The sequence below is a fragment of the Homo sapiens genome, chromosome 21 (genome assembly GCF_000001405.40).
Source record: "Homo sapiens chromosome 21, GRCh38.p14 Primary Assembly".
NCBI lineage: Eukaryota > Metazoa > Chordata > Mammalia > Primates > Hominidae > Homo > Homo sapiens.
The window spans coordinates 6,347,715-6,368,050 of NC_000021.9; the positions used below are offsets into that span (position 1 = coordinate 6,347,715).

At 38.2% G+C, this 20,336-nt stretch overlaps 2 long non-coding RNA genes across 3 annotated transcripts in view; one reads left to right on the forward strand and one right to left on the reverse strand.

Annotated features, from left to right (window-relative positions):
- The window catches only part of LOC102724701 (uncharacterized), a 441,766-nt gene that overhangs the window by 118,749 nt on the left and 302,681 nt on the right, over positions 1 to 20,336 (reverse strand). The window lies entirely within an intron of this gene.
- Positions 6,283 to 12,915, forward strand: CH507-145C22.1 (uncharacterized). The gene is made up of 2 exons (XR_005647076.2): positions 6,283 to 6,808; positions 8,974 to 12,915. It is a non-coding gene; the product is annotated as an uncharacterized CH507-145C22.1 (long non-coding RNA).

Here is a 20,336-nt window from a genome sequence, read left to right on the forward strand (position 1 = left end):
TCATAGACGTGAGAAGGCACATGGATATGATTCTAAATATAAAGAGAAAGCACTAGAAAGTTGAATGGCTGTATTAGGACTTTGTCATACTGCAATGATGAAGTACTTGAGACTGGGTAATTGATAAAGAAAAGAAGTTTAATTGACTCACAGTTCCACATAATTGGGAGGGCACCTCAGAAACCTTCCAATTACAGTGGCTGACAAGTGAAGTGAGTGAGAGCATGGGATGTACCAGATGCTTATGAAACTATCAGATCTCATGAGAACTCACTATCACAAGAACAGCATGAGGAGAACCCGTCCCCATAATCCAATCATCTCCCCTCAGGTTTCTCCCTTAACACCTGGGGGTTACAATACACAGAGAAGTTTGGGTGGAACACACAGCTAAACTATATGAATGCCAGAGGACAGTATCTACATTTAATTTCAACTTCATACTGGAGCAGAATGAAAATGAAGCGCAGTGGAGAAGTGACATTCCCAAGATCACCCTGCCAGACCCAGGCTTGTTTGAGTTGTGGCCCATGCTACCTTCTACATATTCTCCTAATGCTTCCATCTCTAAGTGTGTGCATTATCTACAGGTAACACCACATGATTTTTATGTTTTATCTTATATACATCTAATACAATCCCTAGGAAGTAGATGTTAGCATCATCCCCACTGTGCATGCTTGGAGGCTGGGGAAGCCTCAAATACACAGTGACTTTTATTGGGTCCCAGAGATGGTAAGAAAAACAAGGTTATGTTCCAGCTGTCTCTTATATCCTGGAACCCAGGCTGCATTTAGTTCTTTCCAGGGAATTAAGGGGAAGTTGTGTTTGCATACTTGTGTACAAATGAAGAGTTGACATGGAAGAGGAGACTGAGCAATTAGTAGCATAGTGGGGCTTTTGGGTAGGTCTTACAGAAAGAAGGGACCCAGTAGATGGAACCTTGAAGAGTTTAACACACTTTCTTGGTGACAACCCAACATCAGTTAAGAAACCAGGAACCCACATTCTTGAGACAGCTCTGTATCCACCTCTGTTAGTGAGAGATGCTCAAGAGAGTGAGATGTTCTTTCATTGTGCCCTGAAATTTCTGAGTTTTGACTTTACAAAGGCTCAGTGTAAAAGCCTTATCTGAAAACACGGATGTCAACTCAGGCCTCATCATTGATGCCCCTGGCTATTGGCTGGGTGCACCTACAAATAACACAGGGCAGCTCAGGACAGGCCCCAGAGCCAGGCCTCTCTTGTCAACTCATCTGGGAAGTCCCACACCATTTCTTAGTACCATGAGTTGTATGGGGAGCAAGAGGGAGGGCACTCTTCTTTTACTGAAGCAGATTGTCAGGTGTTGGAACCCTTGTGTACCTGTCATGTTCATACCTAGGCCATAGCTGGCAGAATAAAAAGAAGAGGGTTGGAGAACGAGTCTGTGTACTCAGATGTGAATTCCAAGACTTTAACTTGTCCTCTGGTTTCCTTCCTTGCTGGAGATTCATACAGATTCTCCTTATGTGCCTAATCTGAAGAGCAGAATTTCTTTTCTTTTCTTTTCTCTTTTATTTTCTTTCTTTCTTTCTTTCTTTCTTTCTTTCTTTCTTTCTTTCTTTCTTTCTTTCTTTCTTCTTTCTTTCTTTCTTTCTTCTTTCTTTCTTTCTTTCTTCTTTCTTTCTTTCTCTTTCTTTCTTTCTTCTTTTTTTCTCTTTCTTTCTTTCTTTTTCTTTCTTTCTTCTTCCTTACTTCCTTCTGTCTTTCTTTCTCTCTTTTTCTTTTTCTTTTTTCCTTTTTGAGGAAGCCTCGCTCTGTCACCCAGGCTGGAGTGCAGAGAAAAGCAGAATTTCTAGTGGAGGTGTCACATACGGTGAAAACAAGGCAGACCACTGACTTTTCTTTGCGTGGTTTCTAGGCACTTTTTACAGAGCTGCATTCAGATTGATGAGGAGCTTCTTGATGTGGCCAACTCCTCCCTCTTTTTGGAAAAAGACCAGGTGCACTAAGCCAGCAACCACAGCCAGCACCGGGCTGTGGTAAGAGCAGCCACATAGGGGTCTCTACAGACAGAAACCCGAGAAGACCGGGACAGACCCAGTACCCAGACTCCAGTATGAAAACTCTCTGGGCTGTGTCCTATGATCTTCCCATGAGTAACTCATAGTCTTGATCCAGTGGAATCTGGCCTTCATTAGTCTCAGTGGCAAGTTGGTTATGTGGAAAGTCTCTGTTCACTCACTTGGGTGAATAACAGTAAAGACCTTTCTATTGTTTTCACTTTACATTAGGCCATGAGTATTTGTGCCTGTAGCTGCAGTTTGTGTTAGTTTCCTACCCCAGGTATCTCCTGCAGCATGCAGCTTCAGTCCTACCAGACCCTCAAAACTTAAAAGCGAACACTATTTCTAGGGAGGATTTTGCAGGAAAATGGAGAAAGGGTTACACACAAAAAAGGTTAAACTACTCTATGCATGTTTCTGCAATGTGTTATCTCAAGAATTCATCTCTGTAGCCCATCAGGGCAGGAGCTGGTCTCTCACCTGTTGATAATATTCCATAAGGGAGGTTCTTCCCCACAGTGTTTAGTCTTCCAACGCTGGTATAGCCTGACATGATGACATTCTACTTTCATGTTGGTCATGCTGCAGGGAGAATTCTGTGAGTGTCCTAATAGGCTGGAATCACTTGCTAAGGTGAACCCCATCTTTGGTGCTCACTTTTCTGTTATCTTATAATTAGCTTTATTCTAAGCAAATCCATGTCTATTTTATTTATCTGTTTATTAACTTATTTTTATGTATGGAAAAACACATTTTTTTATTTGCTTATTTATTTAGAGACAGGGTCTCCCTCTGTCATCCAGGCTGGAATACAGTGGTAGATTGGAGTGATCATGGCTCATTGCAGCCTCAAACTCTTGAGCTCAAATGATTCTCTCACCTCAGCCTCCTGTGCCACCATGCCCTGCTAGTTGATTTTAATTTGTTATAAAGAAAGTGTCTCATTATGCTGCCCAGGCTGGTCTCAAACTCCTGGGCCCAAGCAATTCTCTCATCTCAGCCTCCCAAAGCACTAGGATTAAAAACATGAGCCACTGTACTGCGCTGTGCCTACTTCAAAGGACTGAAAATAAAAAATAAATAAATCTTTGCCAAATTAAAAAACAAAGCAATAGTTTCCAGGTCTTAGATAAAGACAATTCTCTGTCATGAAGAATGACAGAAGGCTTATTTAGCTGTTAAAATGATTTGCTTATATTTCAAAGAAGCAGAGAAAAAAAGGTACATGTAAAAGTGTTCCAGGCCACTCATGGTGGTTCATGCCTGTAATCTGAACATTTGGGGAGGCCAAGGCATGAGGATACCTTCAAGCCAAATGTTTGAGTCCAGTACAGGCAATATGGTGAAATTCTGTCACTACAAAAAAATAAAATAAATATGGCTGGGCATGTTGGCTCACACCTGTAATCCCAGCACTTTGGGAGTCTGAGGCAGGTGGATAATGAGGTCAGGGGGTGGAGACCAGCCTGGCCAAAATGGTAAAACCCATTCTCTACTAAAAATAATAATAACAAAAAATTAGCCAGACATGGTGGTGTGCGCCTGTAATCCCAGCTACTCAAAAGGCTGAGACAGGAGAATTGCTTGAACCTGGGAGGTGGAGGTTGCATTGAGACAAGATCATGGCACTACACTCCAGCCTAGCCCACAGAGCAAGACACTGTCTTGAAAAAAAATAAAAACAAAAATAAATAAAGCTAGCCAGGCATGGTGGTTCATGCCTATAGTCCTAGGTAATTAAGCGGTTGATGCAGGAGGACTGCTCAAACCCAAGAGGTTAAGGTTACCGTGAGCTATGATTATGCCGTTGCACTTCAGGCTAAGTAAAAGAGTAAGATTCTGCCTCAAAAAATTACTAATTAAAGTTTTCCAGATTACATTGTTTAAGAAAAAGGAAAAGAAAAAAATCTTTTTTTTATTTTCAAATGGGAGAATAGAGCCTCTCATTTCTAATTTGTATTGCCTTCTGCAAAAACTTAGTCTAGGCCCATGGTCTTGAACTACTGGACATCTGAATTTTGGTAGGTGCTGGATTCAGGCAACTGAGGGGTGGCCTTGGGCACACTGTGTGCACATAAAAGAAAGGGTTTGAGGTGAACTAAAAGGTAAAAGAGGGGAAGGTGCTATTAAGAAACCAGAAGTGAGAGACTGTACAGGGTTGGTGGGAGGACTGGTTCATGCTACAGACACTGACCCAGGTGAAACTTTTCTCTGAGTTATTTCTATGTTCATGCAGGAAGACGAGATTATGATCAGGTGGCACAGAAATCTGCGATGGTGAAAAAACCAGGTTGCCACTGCAGATTCGGTGTCTGAAGTAGAACATATGCCAGGGGTCTTGTAGGCACGTGTGTGGGTTTTTGGTGGGAAAGTCTATGAGGAAAGGTAGGATGGGCAACAATCTTGATGCCAAAGCCTTGTCCTGAGAGGGGCTTGACCACGTCAACATGCAGTGTGTATGTTCAGTGGGTGAAAAACATGTGGTGGCTTCAAGTTGGCAGGAGGGTAGAAGGCATCTGTTCTCAGAACTTCTTCCCTCAGAGTCGTCGGTCCTTCTTACCATGGGAGGATGCCTGGAACCACAGGGCAGTGCATGGCGTAGCAGCCTGTGTGCAGAGCAGAGCCTACCTTCCCCGAGACACCTGGAGTCTCTCTCCAGCAAAGGCCCCCACATTGTCTTTCTCCTTACAACACTTTTGATCCTAAATGTGTAAAGTTCCCTGAAAACCCACTGCTTCTTCAACACCCATTTCTTGCCCCAAAATTTAATTCTGACACAACTTAGAGTTCGCACAGATCCCACAAATTCAGGGCTAAGTCCCACATCACCCCTCTCACTGCAGAGGTTAGTCACATGTCCCATAAGCCCATCTATACTTCTGAGCTACTGCCTATAAATCTGAGACTCCCATAAACCCCTTTTCAAGTTAAATAATTTGATAGAGTTACTCAAAAAAACTCAACAAATAAGTCTAATTATATTTACCACTTTATTATAAAAATACAACTCAGAAACTGACAAATGAAAGAGATGTCTAGGAAAAGGAACAGTTGTGGGTGAAGGTAATCCTGGAAATAGCTATATTTAAAGAAATTCCCCCATTCTTTGTGTTCTCAAAGAACAGCTTAGTGAAGAGAAACGTGCTTCCCATTATGACTTTGTGGATGTTCCCCCCCCCCCTTTTTTTTAACCTATCACAAAGACGGACACAGATTACAAATTCCTATTTTTAAAAATGAACAACCATTCTGTAATTTAGTCTTCAGTGGTCAAAACAGAGTACTTGTTAACAAAACTTTGCTTGTTCCCCTTCTTCCCTCAGCCCCTGAACTTTGACTCACCCACAGCCTCAGAGAACCTACAACCCATATTTATACATATCCCTCCTAAGAACAGGCTGACTTCAAGATGAAACATTATCTTATCTGGGATCTGATTTTGCTACCCTCCATCCTGTGCTTCCTTTCCAACCTTCTTTGTAAACTTATTTTCTCCTCCCTATGAAATAAAACCCTTTTCCACCTAACCTTTGAGATCCTCAAAGATCTAATCATTTGTACTTTTTCCTTGTTACAACACTTCTTAAGTAACTTCTTAGACAAAGTCTATAAACAGTCTCAGGACAATAACAACTCCATTCTAGAAAGAATATCCCAACTTTTCTTCAATCTCAACCCCAACTGCATCTGCCTGTCAACTTCCAGCTTACCAAAGCTCTGTATCTTCTGACAGTGACAAAGGCTCCTTCTATGGTTGGTGTGAGCAGACTTTGATGTCTGCAGGGCAGACACCCAGGAATAATCAACTGGGCCTTCAGTGGCCCCCTTTTGCAGGGTCAACGTTAGCCTTAGCTTTTAGTCAACGGTCTAAGACTTCTACTTACCAGTTAAAGTCATTCAATTAGTTTTCAATTTAAAAAATACTTCATGTTTGAAGAATCCAGCAAAAATCATTCAAATCTAAGGTTTAAAAGAGAGGAAATTATGGTCGGGCATGGTGGCTCATGCCTGTAATCCCTGCATTTTGGGAGGCTGAGGCGGGCAGATTACCTGAGGTCAGGAGTTCGAGACCAGCCTCACTAACATGAAGAAACACAGTCTCTACTAAAAATACAAACTTAAACGGGGGTGGTCGTGTATTCCTGTAATCCCAGTTACTTGGGAGGCCGAGGCAGGAGAATTGCTTGAACCCGGGAGGTGGAGGTTACAGTGAGCCAATATCGTGCCATTGCACTCCAGACTGGGCAACAAGAGTGACACTAAGTCTAAAAAATAAAATTAAAATTAAAAAAGAAAGTTATAAGGGGCTTACATTTTATAACTCAACAAGAAAAGCCAAAGTATCTATCCCTTTCAGAAAATAAACATGTAATTTAATTATGTTCATAACAAATCATTTAGTAAACAATCATATGTGAACACTTCCAGGCGGTGCCAAGTCCCAGCTCCTAAAACTTAGCGTTACCCTCAAACACCCAGATGACAGCATATGGAACAGAGATACTCACTATCAGAAGTTCTCTGTTTTGAAAAAAGAATAACTGATGTGATAAATTTATGTAATTTAACAATTAATCTACCTCACGTGCTTGTAGGTATGTATTCATTTCGTACCACCGTAGTGGAAGAGAGACTATCCCTATCAATACACCTGGTAACATTCCCAACAGTAAGTCGTGAGATTCTGCTTGAAATCACCTCTCAGACAAATAAAAAACAGTCCTGGGAAATGTACGACACTCATTCTGCTAAAGAAATAGGCAAGTAACAATTTTTAACAAGTGAAATATATTACTACTTAATTTTATTCAAAATTCACCAACTTAATGTGCTTTATAAATATTTTCATGCCTTTCAAGCTCTACTGATAAAACATAGTTTACAGTTAATTAAAAAGTGAAGTTAAAGTAAGTACAAAAACATTTTCAAGGTGACAAAATTAGAAGGTGACAGTGCCGATTGAAACACAGACATATCAGACCCAAGGGTCAAGTCAAGCCATTCTATTACTTGGGATATTTTCCCCACTCACATCTGGTTCAGTGAAGTGGGTCATGACCATCCTACCAGGAGTCGCTACCCTGTGCTCCTCTGTGTCCCTGAGGTGCATTTTACTTTGCAGGTTTTTGCACTGCCTCACTAGGTTGGGTTTCTTTGTCCTTTGAAATATTTTCTCTCCCTTCACCAATCTGAGAACATTTTTTCCTCAATATCAGCATCCATTTGCCTGGCCTGCAATGTGTCTCTAAGGAATGGAAACTAAGCTTTGGGGTAAGAAAATCTTAATGACCTAATGGGTTTGCTTTTAGCGCAAGGGTATACCTAGAGATTCCTTCCAGGCACATCTCAAACAACCACTCCACAGAGAGGCTGCATTCCCATACCTTGGGCTGTTCCCTGAGAGGAGATGACACAAGGGATGCTATTTACTAGACACTTCAAGAGTCATGGCCACTGTTGGCATCTTGGGGAATCCTCAAACAGTTTTGAAATTCAAAACCAAGAAAATAACAGGATGGCTGAGGATGTATTGCCCTGTGAAGTTTCCAAAATGAAACCTGAACCCAAAGGCTTTCTGATGGGGTGTCTGTGCCAAGAGAAGTTTAAACAAAGGGGCACAAAGGTTTTCCGCTTTTTATTTATTTTTTTTACAGTGGGGTGTCAGGGGATTATTCTCTGCTTTCATCTCCTGTAAAATGTTTACAAATGAGAAAAAATTTTTTTAAATGACATCCACTGCTTTTTGACAAAAAGAAGAATTGAAATACTGTGTCTGAAATGTACAATAAAGAACAGTTGATAATGTTGTGAATTATGGAAGGTTAGTTAGTGTTGGTGAGTGTCAGGAAAGAACTGGAAATTTAAAATCTGATTGCAAGCCAGAGTTAGGCTGGGGCAACAGGGAGTTAGATTTGAGTCTCTGCCTGCCACACATTTGGAAAATGCATGAGAAAACTAGTTCCCTTTTGGAGTGTTAAAATAACTAAAAAACAGGTGATTATGTTGAGGTGGCTCTAGTGTCCTGAGCTCTGAGTGGAGAGACAGGCCAAGGCCTCCGTACTTCCAAAAAGCTGCCCATTCTTCTCCAGCTGTGCACCTGATTAGATAGTTTCCACTCCAAGACCCATGATTGGATGTAGTTCAATTCCCTACCCTGCCGCCTCAGACCATGAGTGACATATGTGATTTGACACTGGGTTGAATAAAGCAAGAATTATAGGTTTTTCCTGGATCCTTTTCTGGCAGGGCTTCCTCTGTGAACTAGAAACTGGCCCTGCCTGTAAAATATTTGCATTTACATTTGTATGTAAGATTATTTGTATTAATGAATAATATATATGTGTTATTCATATATGGAATCAATATAATGACAATTGTTTTAAAATTTCAGATGTTTTACTTTCCTGGCACATCCAGGTTTTAGAGCAGGCAGCCTGAGATTTCAAAAGGGAGGCAATTCTCTAAGAAATAATATGAGAGGCACAAGTGAATTTTAAATATTCTGGTAACTACATTTTAATAAATATACCGGGCATGCTTCCCTGTGCCTGTAGGTCGAACTATTAGGGAGACTGAGGTGGGAGGATCACTTGAGACCAGGAGTTTGAGACCAGCCCAGGCAGCATAGAGAAAGCCATCTCTACAAAAAAAAAAAAAAAAAAAAAAAAAAAAAAAATTTGAAAAATTAGCCAGGCCTGGTGGTGCATGACTTCAGTCCCAGCTACTCAGAAGGCTGGAGCTGGAGGATCACCTGAGCCTGGGAGGTCAAGGCTGCAATGAACCATGATCACACAACTGCACTCCAGCCTGGCTGACAGAGCAAAACCCTGTCTCAAAAAACTGATCTCTGGAAAGGCAATTTGTTTTTCTGCAATGTAGCCAAGCAGCTAAGTATGTATTGAAGCCATCCTTTAATTTTTAACAGGGCAAGAAAGCTTTCTAAGACCCCGAACTCCAGATATGCGATGGGGCAAATCCTGAAGCGTACATGGCTATCTCTCACAGCTAAAGCATCCCTCACCCCTATCCAGCGCTTCTTACCCCTGGCGCAAGAGAATCACCTGCGGGGAGGAAAACTTTCAAAATCCCTTAAACCCAAGTTGTAACCGCACAACTAAATCAGAATCCTTGGAGCTGGATCTGAAAAAAATATGGTTGAAAGTCGTGCAGGTGATTACAATGTGTAGGCAAGCCAGAAAACCATGGCTTTAACGAGCAGCTTTTGTTAGAAATGATTTCTCCAATGAATGTGAAAACGTTTGCTGCTGAATTGTGACCTTTCCATTTTACCTGCTTTTCCTGCAAAGTATATTTTGCAGACCCAGGCTGGCTTCTCCTTCTGTTCCTGGTTCACCCAGTGCCGTGTGTGCTCAGTGCATCCTGTGCACGGGTCACTGTGTGCCCTGGCCTGGGTGAGCATCATTCTTCGGGGAGAACCTTGATGAAAACAAAGCTGCATTCCAAAAAGTTAAAACCATGCTACTTACTGTGTTGAAGTAAAAATTAAAAGACCCAGGGGGGCTCACCCAAAAGTTAAAACATAAATAAATAACTTGGAACATTAACATACACCTGATGATGTCCTGAGTGAACACGCCCCACTTGAAAACAAAACAAAACATTGCTATTATTCTAAAATATTAATTTAGGATTGTTATGCAAACATGCACTCTTTACATTTTTATTGATAAATAACATGCATACAGCAATATAGGCACAAAGCATTTAGGGAATGTTTGATGAATTATTACTAAATAAATACACTTGTGTATCTAAGAATCAGATTTGTTCATGCCCCTGACACTTTCCCCTTCCCAAAGGTAACCAAGACCTTAAGAGCTAAGTGTAGATAAACTTTGTCATTTTGTACAAGTGTTTTATTACAGATCACTAAAAACATACACAATACAAAAAAAGTATAACAGACCAGTCACCCAGCTTTAACAGCTGCTAGTCATGTGTCATTTTTGTTTTATCTATACTTCCAGCCATGCCCCCACCCCCAATTTCATTATTTTTTAGGCTTTTTGGATAAAATGTATATTCATTGCAAGGTACAATGCGAACTGTAAATAGTAGAGAGATGGGGTTTTACCATGTTGGTCAGGCTGTTCTTGAACTCCTGACCTCAGGTGATCCACTCTCTTCCACCTCGCAAAGTGCTGGGATTACAGGCGTGAGCCAATATACTCGGCCTGAGAATTCATATTTCTAATAAAGTACAAATCCATAGGGCACATGACAACTGCAATGTCTATCTACAGTAAAAACAGTTTGATGAATAAAATGAAAGGCAATTGACTTAAGGTGGGAAAAAAACAATCAAAGCATGGGTACTATGTGCCATCTGTAGGAGCATTTGGTTAAGAATAACAAACAAACCAGTTTTATTGTTTTAATAACCGAAATTGGCAAAATTTCTAGTTTTTCTTTCATAGGAATGCTCTTAGCAAGAAAAAATTTTCATATGGTGAGAGCAAAAATGACAACCATTTGCAAGTAAATGTCTTATGAAATTAAGTAGCAGATATCAAGCTCATGACCTTCAGATTGTTACCCCTAACTCAATCATTTACATAGCAAGTGCAGATAATTTTCATAGTTCCCCATTAAAATTATACTTTACTCCCCTTACAAATTGTGACTGTTTTTAAATAAAGTTCACTAACTAAAATTTTGTATATGACATATGATAAATTTCCCTTCAAGTCACCTTATATTTACTTAATTGTGTTAGCCAGTGTCTGTCTACCTCCCAACAATACTTTGGGATTCTCCCTCCATTTGCACAGGCATCATAGCTGGGGAACAGGGATTCAAAAGACCCAGGCTGTTCCCTACATATGTTTCCTCCTCAGACATCAGTTAATCAGTCAATCAAGTCAAGTGAGAGTGGAGGCCATGTATTCCCTCTTATTCTTGGGCACTCTCCTCCAAGGAGGAAAAGGCCAGGAGGTCCTGTTAGAGGATGCACTCTGAGAGCCCGGGCTCCCTAAGGTATGAGAGTTCTAACCAGCAGGTGTAGACTTTTCAGGAGTGAGGAATGAGGCAGGCATTCCAAACCTGGAGCTTCATCACCTTTTGTTTCATCTCAAGACAATTCTGAGGGGCTGTTTTGGAGCGTGTCTGGAAGGTGAACGTTGAAGAAGAGTGTGGGCTTTGATGTGACTCAGATGAGATCTTTCATGGGGAGGCAGGAATTCAATGCCCAGAATCTGGGCTGGTGTCTTTGAGGTCAGTAGGTTGCCTCTTTGTATCCAAGTCCATTGTTACTAAATTGGAGGCTGGAGATTCTAAATGGCTTCCAGACCATCTCTCTGATTCTCTTTGGGAGATTGGGTCTGAAAAAGACAATGTCAGTATTTTTGGGAAATTCTAGAAAGTCTGCTTGGAAACCTGGGAAGACCTCTTGCCTAGTGCCTAAATATTCAATGTGCAGCTCTAGCCATGTAGATGCTTGGTAGGTATAGAGCTGGGTTTTCATTTATATCAGCAAAACCTATGTCAGAGTTGAAGAAGTAGTCAAGACAAAGTGTCTTGGTCGCAGGCCGGGGAACATCTTAAAAGCAAACTTCTAGCCTGATGACTCTTGGCAATGAGTGTTGGGTCCTGGCTAAAGTGCCTTGAATGCAGCATGAGGCCAATCCATGAATCCAACTTCCAATGGAGAAATGTTAATATTTTTTCAGTTTGAATCAATCAGGGTGAAATTACCTTGCTATTGGTTTGCTTACTTTTTATTATTTCATATAAAATCTAAGACAAAATACATTAAATGCTTATTGATATATGTATTTATTCTTCACCTGGCTCATAATATTTGCCTAATTTTAAACTTTCTTCTATTTTGTAGGTTTCAACTTATTTCATTGTAAGATATTGTTAAATCTAATACGGGCATTGTCACTTTTACAAATAATTTTATTTTATTTCATGTATTTCCTATTCACTTTTTACATTTAAATTATGGACCATTTCATCATATAAAAAGCTCCATTTCTATTTTAAAAATAAGTCTTTGGGTTTTTTTGTCTTGTAATTTCCATATTACATAGTAATGAGATAAACGTTAATGTTTTCAGGGTATTTTAAATTTTAAATAATTACTCATTATATCCACGTGAAATTTGTTTTTACTGCATGTGTGAGTTGGAGAACCGTTTTCACTTCTGACTCATCTTTACTGTGATCTCCTCAGAACTCATACCTCTTGTAGTTGGGAGATTGCAGTATATAATTCCAATAAATGGGGCAAATTCAATAATAACATAATACAAATGAGTTTGAAAGCAGGACATGTCTTCAAAGCATACACAACATGGGCCTATATATGTACAACAATAATAATTTATAAGTTACAGTTTGGATGGGAATTAAAAGTACAGAAAATTTGTTAAAATAAATTAAAATGGAGATCACGTCTCAATAATCTCTGAGCAGACGAAATTAGTTAGGTCTCATAAGTGATCTCAACCTTGCTTGATTTGCAAATACAAGCAAAACTTAAATATTTCTTGTAGCTGCCTATTTAAAAAAGAGAAATGAAGCTCAACCAATCAGGAGTAGCCAACATCCTTATATAAATAGAAACTGTCCAACAAGATAAACAGACGAACAAAAAACAATAAAAAAGTTGTGCTACCACCAATCAAATGATTTTTTTGTTTCTACATTTTTTCAATAAATACTTGCTTCTTACTCTGTCAGAGAAGCACTAAATAACTTTTGGTCTGATATTTTATAATTTATCAATTGCTCTTACTCAAATAGACACTTGGCAATTTCATTGTGTCTCAAATTACTTTTTAGCAGAATAAAATAAACTAGGAATAAACATTACAAAAATGTGTACAGAATATGAGAAAAACATAGAAAGTTTATGAAATATATGAATGTAGACATAAGCAAATAGACAATTTGTATCATATTCTTAGGCAGCAAATCTCAATATTATCAACATCAATTGTCCTTAAGTTTATTTATAAATTCAATTTTGTTCCTATACAGATACCATTAAATATTGGAAGTACACGTTACTATAAAATATTATATAGATGAAAACACACATAAGAATAGACAAGAAAACTCTGAAAAAAAAGCAAAAAACAAGACTGGCAAGCTCTGTGAAAAATCTTGATTGATTAAAAACTCATATGTCACTGAAACTAAAAATTCAGAAATAGACCAAAGTGCCTAAGAAAGTGTCATAGTTCATCCAGGCTGCTATAACAAAATACCTCAGACTGGGTAAAGGATAAACAACAGAAATGTATTTTTCACAGTTATGGAGTCTGGAAAGTGCAAGATCAAGGCAGCAGAAAATTTAGTATATGTTGAGAGCCCTGTTCCCCATAGATGGTACCATCTTGCACACGGGACAAGGGCATTGCCTTCAACTTCCCTTGAAAGAGCACTGATTCCATTCATGAAGATGAAGAACTCTTGGCCTCACCACTTCCCCAAAGGCCACACGCCTAAAATTATCCACATAGGAATTTGCAAAGGGACATAAACATTCAGGCCATCGCAACAAAAACTACATGGGGGATGGCATCATTAATACTTGAGGTGTAAAAATGTGATGTTCTTATCGCAAAGGAAATAAATGATTTATTCTTCATGGCATATAACAAAATAAAGGTCCAAAGAAAATATTTTTTATGAAGATAAATCTATATGGTAAAAAACTAAGTGTTGATAAGGTTAACCCTACAGGTTGCATCAGGATTTTCAAGGTTTCTGGTGATGAGCAAGGCCCCAGAGTTTCCTCCTGTGACATTTACCTGGAAGTTGCTCATGCTGTTATTCAATTTGAAAGTAGATAATATTGTTTGTTTCTGTTCCAATATTTACTAAATTCAAAATAATATAGGGCTCTTTATGCGTAATTGTCAAACAGTCATTCAGTCAATGGTCCTCTGCTGAGGAAGAGCACAGATACATCCAAACACATATGATGTTCCTCAAATAGAGGACTTCTCCCTGTGCGGGAGTCACCTATGTTGCACTTGATCAGAGGCTTTCCCAGGCGAGCATTTCTCTGCAGCCCTACCACAGACTTAACCCTGGAAATCTGACTCAGAAGGTGATAGATGAACACCCAACCTAGCATTCTAATCTAATGGATCCTCTCTTAATAATCCCTTCCAGGGATCTGGGAGCTTTCCTGGATTCGTCTGCCACACACAGCTAGGCTAAAACATTTGGATAGAAGCTTTGATCCTCACTGGCCCTCCTGCCCTGTTCTACCAGCTTCTCTAGAAGTATGCTTCTCTAATTGATCCTGAGAGACCCATCTAAGGCTATCTCTCTGTGCCAATATAATTGATCTCATAAAGTGGGAAGAGAAACAGGCAAGAGTCCAGCTATGCTAGAAGCTGTGTCTAGGGTTCCTTATCTGCTTTATGTCTCTGATTTACCTAAATATTGACAAATACAGATTAATCTCTAGGTAGTAGAAAAACAGAAGGAGAAATCGCAGTTCACAGAAGAAGAAGAAAATGCAATCAGTAATTCCTAGAGTCCCGCTTAAGCTCAGCCACAGGGTACTAAGTCTCTTCAGGAAAAAGCAATGGTTGTCCATCATCTGAAAAACTGTGGCGTTGAACCATGGGCACCGAGAGTGCACACTGCCCACTAGAGTTCCATGCCTACATCACAGAGAGATAGAATAGTCTCAAAGGATTCTTAAGAGTAACGTGGAGACCAAAAGGAGCTGAATCCACAGCCTCTGTCTTACCGTCTGTTCTAATAGTATTTCCAGACTCTTTTGTGGGCTGCACCAGGGGTTATTCAGAAAGAAAAAAAGTTGTTAATGTCCCACCATTCCCCGTAGCTTCCGAGGTCTAAGTTGTTCATTTCCCACGTTCCAGGTTGTTGTTCTCCCTCTATCTCTACAGAATCAGTGTGTCTCATTCCGATATCTATAATCTCACCTTTATTCTAGTCGCCCTTTACTTTTTTCTAGACATTTTGTGTAGTAGAGCCAGGTAAAACAGATACAAGAATATTTACATAAAACTTAACCAGAACTAAGTTGGAGTCCCATAACTGCTGCTAGGCTGGGATGCAACTCAGAGGATACAAAAGCCAGGCTGGTCTAGAATTGCAGGTATGGGAAAGAAAGACATTTCACCCAGGAATTATTAGCACGAAATTCCAAATTTGTGAAATAGATTCCTAGATCCCCCAAACATTTCATCCTTATCTTGGAGGCAATCTGGAAGAGATAATCCCCTTTCAGAGAAAAGCATACCTAATCAACGAATTATCTAACCAACATGTGTGGAAAAGGAGGGAACATCGTAGAGTTGGCCCATTTTAGTCGATGTGGTGAAAAATGCCACGAAGTCAGAGCTCAATTGACCTCAAAAGCCTAAAAGGTGGCACAGATTAGCTTCAAGGGACACATGGTATGGCTGGAGTCAGATGACTGTTATGCTGAAGAAGTCAACAGTGGTGACTGATATCTCAAGAAGTGGGCTAAAAGTCCACTTCTGGTTACTCTGCTAGGTATGGTCTAGGAATTCTTCAACCATGAGACAGATAGGTCAACTTTCACCAGCAACCCCAAGTCTGGTTTGCAGTATTAGACTCTGGGTTGGACACAGATTTAGGTTCAATCTGCAGCTTGATTGTGGTCACTCTCTGGAAAACACTTACCATGGACTTCTAGATGAGTGACCCAGTTAGATCAGCATCTGGGGTTGTTTCCGGTTTGCAGCCCAAAAGATATTCAGACAGTCTACACTTTCCATTGTAGATAACCAAACAGATAGAATATGTGCCATTATCCCAAACCCTGAGTTCTGACCTTTGAGAGGAGCAACCACTCATGTCAGGTTCTGTATGGCTGGCACAGGTTAAACAGCCACAGCGGCCCAGTGGACATCATGAGGTTTCACCTTCCCTGACTCATCTATGAACCAGGACCAGTCATATAGGAAACACTCAGTAAATTGGGGGCCCCACAGAGACAGCAGCTTTGCTTCAGAGGATAGAAGGAGGCACAAAATTTCAACCAGCTGGGGATGCCCTAGCCCTCTATAGGTCAAACTTAGTTTGTCAGGAGTTCTGTAGCAAGCTCTTTGCTGACTTTCAAATCAGTGTAACCAGTAGTGTGTCACTGAGTCCAAAAGGCCAAAGAACACCTCTAGGTGGAAGCTAATCCTTTACTGGAGGCTCCAAATTTTAAAATCAAGATTTTCTTGACCTCAGGATGAACTGATCAATGCAAATCTCCCCAAATATTTTCACTAATCCTTAATTGGAAAGTAAGACTCCAGATTTTTTAACCTTCACTAAAAATAAATATCTGATTTTTTTTCACCTGGGATCTATGTATGTGTGTTGGAGCATGCCTTTACTAATCAGCATAAAGTTACAACTCTCCTTGTGCCTCTATTTTCTACTTGTGCAGAGTTTAAAGTACACAGGTGACAGCTTAGGGTTTTCTGGGTCTTTTGCTAAGCATGTACCTGACCCTGAGCATCCCCATTTCCCCATTTCTTTGTTGATCTCAAAGACCATTATCACAGTCCTAATTCCCAGGAGCTTTTCCTCCTAGAGCTTTTTGGCATGATTATTCTTAGACCCAACTGATATCCTTTGTTCCTGGTGAACTGGTAGCTTATTTCCATTTAAATGCTTTTACAAACATTAAGCTATTGATTTAAGATTTCTGTGCTTTTTAAATTAAGTAATGCTACTGTTAGCTTTCCACAGCAATTCAGGGTTATAAAAAAGGGAAGAAAATAATTATTTTATACCAATAGTAGGAAAAAGAGACTGGGGATGACTATATTAATAGCAGACAAAATAGACTTAAAAAGTTACAAGAGACAATAAGACATTATATAATCATAGAACGTGCATTTGGCAAGAAGATAGAAATAGTTTAAACACTTACATACCTAATAATAAAACATTTAGATATAGAAAGACTAAGTTGACAGAATTAAAGGGACAAATAGACAGTTCTAAAATAATAGTTGAAGATGTTAATACTCCACTCTGAGTAATGAATAGAAAAATGAGATGAATGACAAATTAGGAAATAGAGGACTTGACTAACTCAATGAACTAAATTGATCTAACAGATATATACAATATACTTCATCCAACAAAACAGAGTACACACTCTTCTCAAATGCACATGGGGAATTCTCCAGGATGGGCTGTATAGTAGATCTCAAATTAAATCAATAACAGATGAAATGCTAGAAAGTTTACAAAATTGTATAAATTAAACAACTACACAATTACAACTTAAAGAATTACAAAATTGTATAAATTAAGTAAAGGAAGAAATCACGGAAGAAGTAGGAACATACAGAGGAAGAAAAATGAAAACAAAACATATCAAAAGTTATGGGAAACAGCAAAAACAGTGTTAAGATGAAAAGTTTGCAGCTAAGATACATTTAAAAAGAGCAAAGATTTCAAATAAATAATAACTTTATCACCTAGTAAATTAGAAAAATAACACCAAATTAGATGCAAAACAAAGAGAAAGAAGAAAGTATTGAAGATTTTAGCAGAGATAAATGCAATAGAGATTACACAAACAACAGAATTCCAAAAAACCAAAAGTTCACTCTCAGTTCTTCAAAAAATTAACAATTGGCAAAACTTCAGCTACACACACGAAAAATTAACAGCATATTCACATACTAAAATGAGTAATGAAAGTGGGACATTACTACTAATTCAAAGAAATAAAATGTTTAAAAAAGTGTACTGTGAACTATGATAGGATGATAAATTGGAAAACCTAGATAAAGTGGGCAGATTCCTACTTATGCAAGACTTGATTACAAAGAAATACAAAATCTGAATAGATAGAAAACTACTAAGGAAATGGAATCAGTAATTAAAAACCTCTCATGAAGAAAAGCCCTTGTTTTGTTGGCTTCACTGGTGATGTAGATCAAGCATTTATAGAACAAAAATCCTTTCCAAAATCTACCAAAAGCCTGAAGAGAGCAGTTCCAAACTTATTCCATGATGCCAGCATTAGCTCATACCAAAGCCAAAGAGACTACAAAAACCCATAGACTAATATCCCTTATGAACACGGATGCAAAACTACTCAGCAACATCCTAGCTAACCACATTCAGCAGCATACTAGCAAGATTACACCCCATGACCAAGGGGAATTTATTACTGGAATGTAAGGAAGATTTAGCGTATGGCTGGTTTCAGTGCAATGGTGTTTACAACTAATTGATCACAACCAGAATAGATTTCTTTATTCTTTTTCCAGTCTCACTGGTTCACTTAGCTAGCCTTTCTTAACAAAAGTTTTAGCATATGAAAAATAATCAATGCATATGACACATTAACAAAATTTTTAGAAAACATTATCTCATTAATACAGAAAATGTATTTTACAAAATTCAAAATATTTTATAATAAAAACAATAAATTACGAATAAAAGAAAACCATCTTTGTAAAATTCACGTATAAAAACCCACAGCAAACTACATGTTCTAGAGGAAAAGACCAAAATTATTTCGTCTAAGCTCAGAAGACAGAATGTCTGCTCTTGCCAGCCACTTTTATTCAACACTGTATTAGAAGTTTCATTCAGAGAAATTAAAAAAGACAATGAAATAAACTTCATCAAAGTGTGTACAGAAAATATATTCTTTTATGTAGAAAATCTTAAAGATTCCACACAAAAAATATTAAAATTAATAAATTCAGCAGAGTAGTAGCATACAAAATCAACATAGAAAAATAAACTGTATTTTATGTAGTAATACGAATGATCTGAGAAGAAAATTATGAAAACAACTCAATTTACAATAGCATCAAAAGAATAAAATTAGGAAGTAACCAAGAAGCAAAATGCCAATTATTTTGTGTAGATATTAAAAAATCAATTTTTAAGTTTATGAGGAATCTCAAGGGACCCTAAATTGCAAAAATAATTTTGAAAAAAAAATACCAAAGTTAGAGAAGTCACACTTAATGATTTCAAAACTTACTACAAAATTCCAAAATAGCATGCTACAAATAGACTAATGGAGTAATATAGAAAGCCAATATAAATAAACCCTCATATATATGGTCAAATGATTTTTATGGGAAATGAACTGCCTTTACAACAGTTAGTGCTGGGGAAATTGGGTACCTACATGTAAAAGAGTGAAACTGTTCCCTTAACTTATACCATAAGAAAAAATTAACTAACTCGACAAAAACCTAAATGTAAGAGCTAAAACTACAAAATTCTTAGTATAAAATGTAGGTAAAACATGTCATAACGCTGGATTTCGCAGTGATTTTTTTTAACAGGACACAAAAAATGCAAGAAACAAAAGAAAAATAAAGAGGACTCTATCCAGAATATACAAAGAACAATTCAGCAATAATAAAACAAAATACTTGTTTAAAATATGGGCAAAATACTTAGACATTTCTTTAAAAATTATGTGAAATGGCTAATAAGTCCATGAAAAGGTGCTCAACAAAACTAATCATTAGTAAAATGCAAATATAACTCCAAATGATATATCACTTAATACACATCAGCATAGTTACTACCAAAAGAAACAAAACAAAACAGAAAATCACAAGTGTTGGTGAGGACGTGGAGCAATTAGAACCCTTGTACACTGTTGTTGGAAATGTAAAATGTTGCAGCTGCTATAAAATAACAGTATAATAACTAAAAAATGTACACCAAAAGTCACCATATGATCCCACAATTTCACATCTGGGTATGTAGCAAAAGATGTGAAAGCAAAGACACAAAATAATACACGTACACCTAGGCTCATGGCAGCATTACTCACATCACCCAAAAGGTTTGTGAATTACCCGTGTTGTTTGAATTATCATCAATGAATAAATAAATAAAATGTGATTTATACATATATTGGAACGTTATTCAGTTATGTAAAATAAGAAAATTCTGACACATGGTACGTTATGCATGAACCTTAAGGACATTGTGCAAAGTGACATAAGCCAGTCATAAAAGGACAAATACTGTATCATTCCACTTATGAGATACTTAGAGTAGTTAAATTCTAGAAATCCAAGTAGAAGAGTGGTTCCTAGGAGCTGGAGGGGGAGTAACAGGGAGCTGTTATTTAATGTGCATTAAATTTTGGTTTTGGAAGTTGAAAGAAGGTCCCTATGAATGAGAATAATAGTTGCAAAACAATGTGAGTGTAGTTAATTTTTCTGAGCTGCACACTTAAAATAGCTAAAATGGTTAATTTTATGTATACTTTGCCACAATATAAAAAATATTTTTTAAATAAACAAACTATAG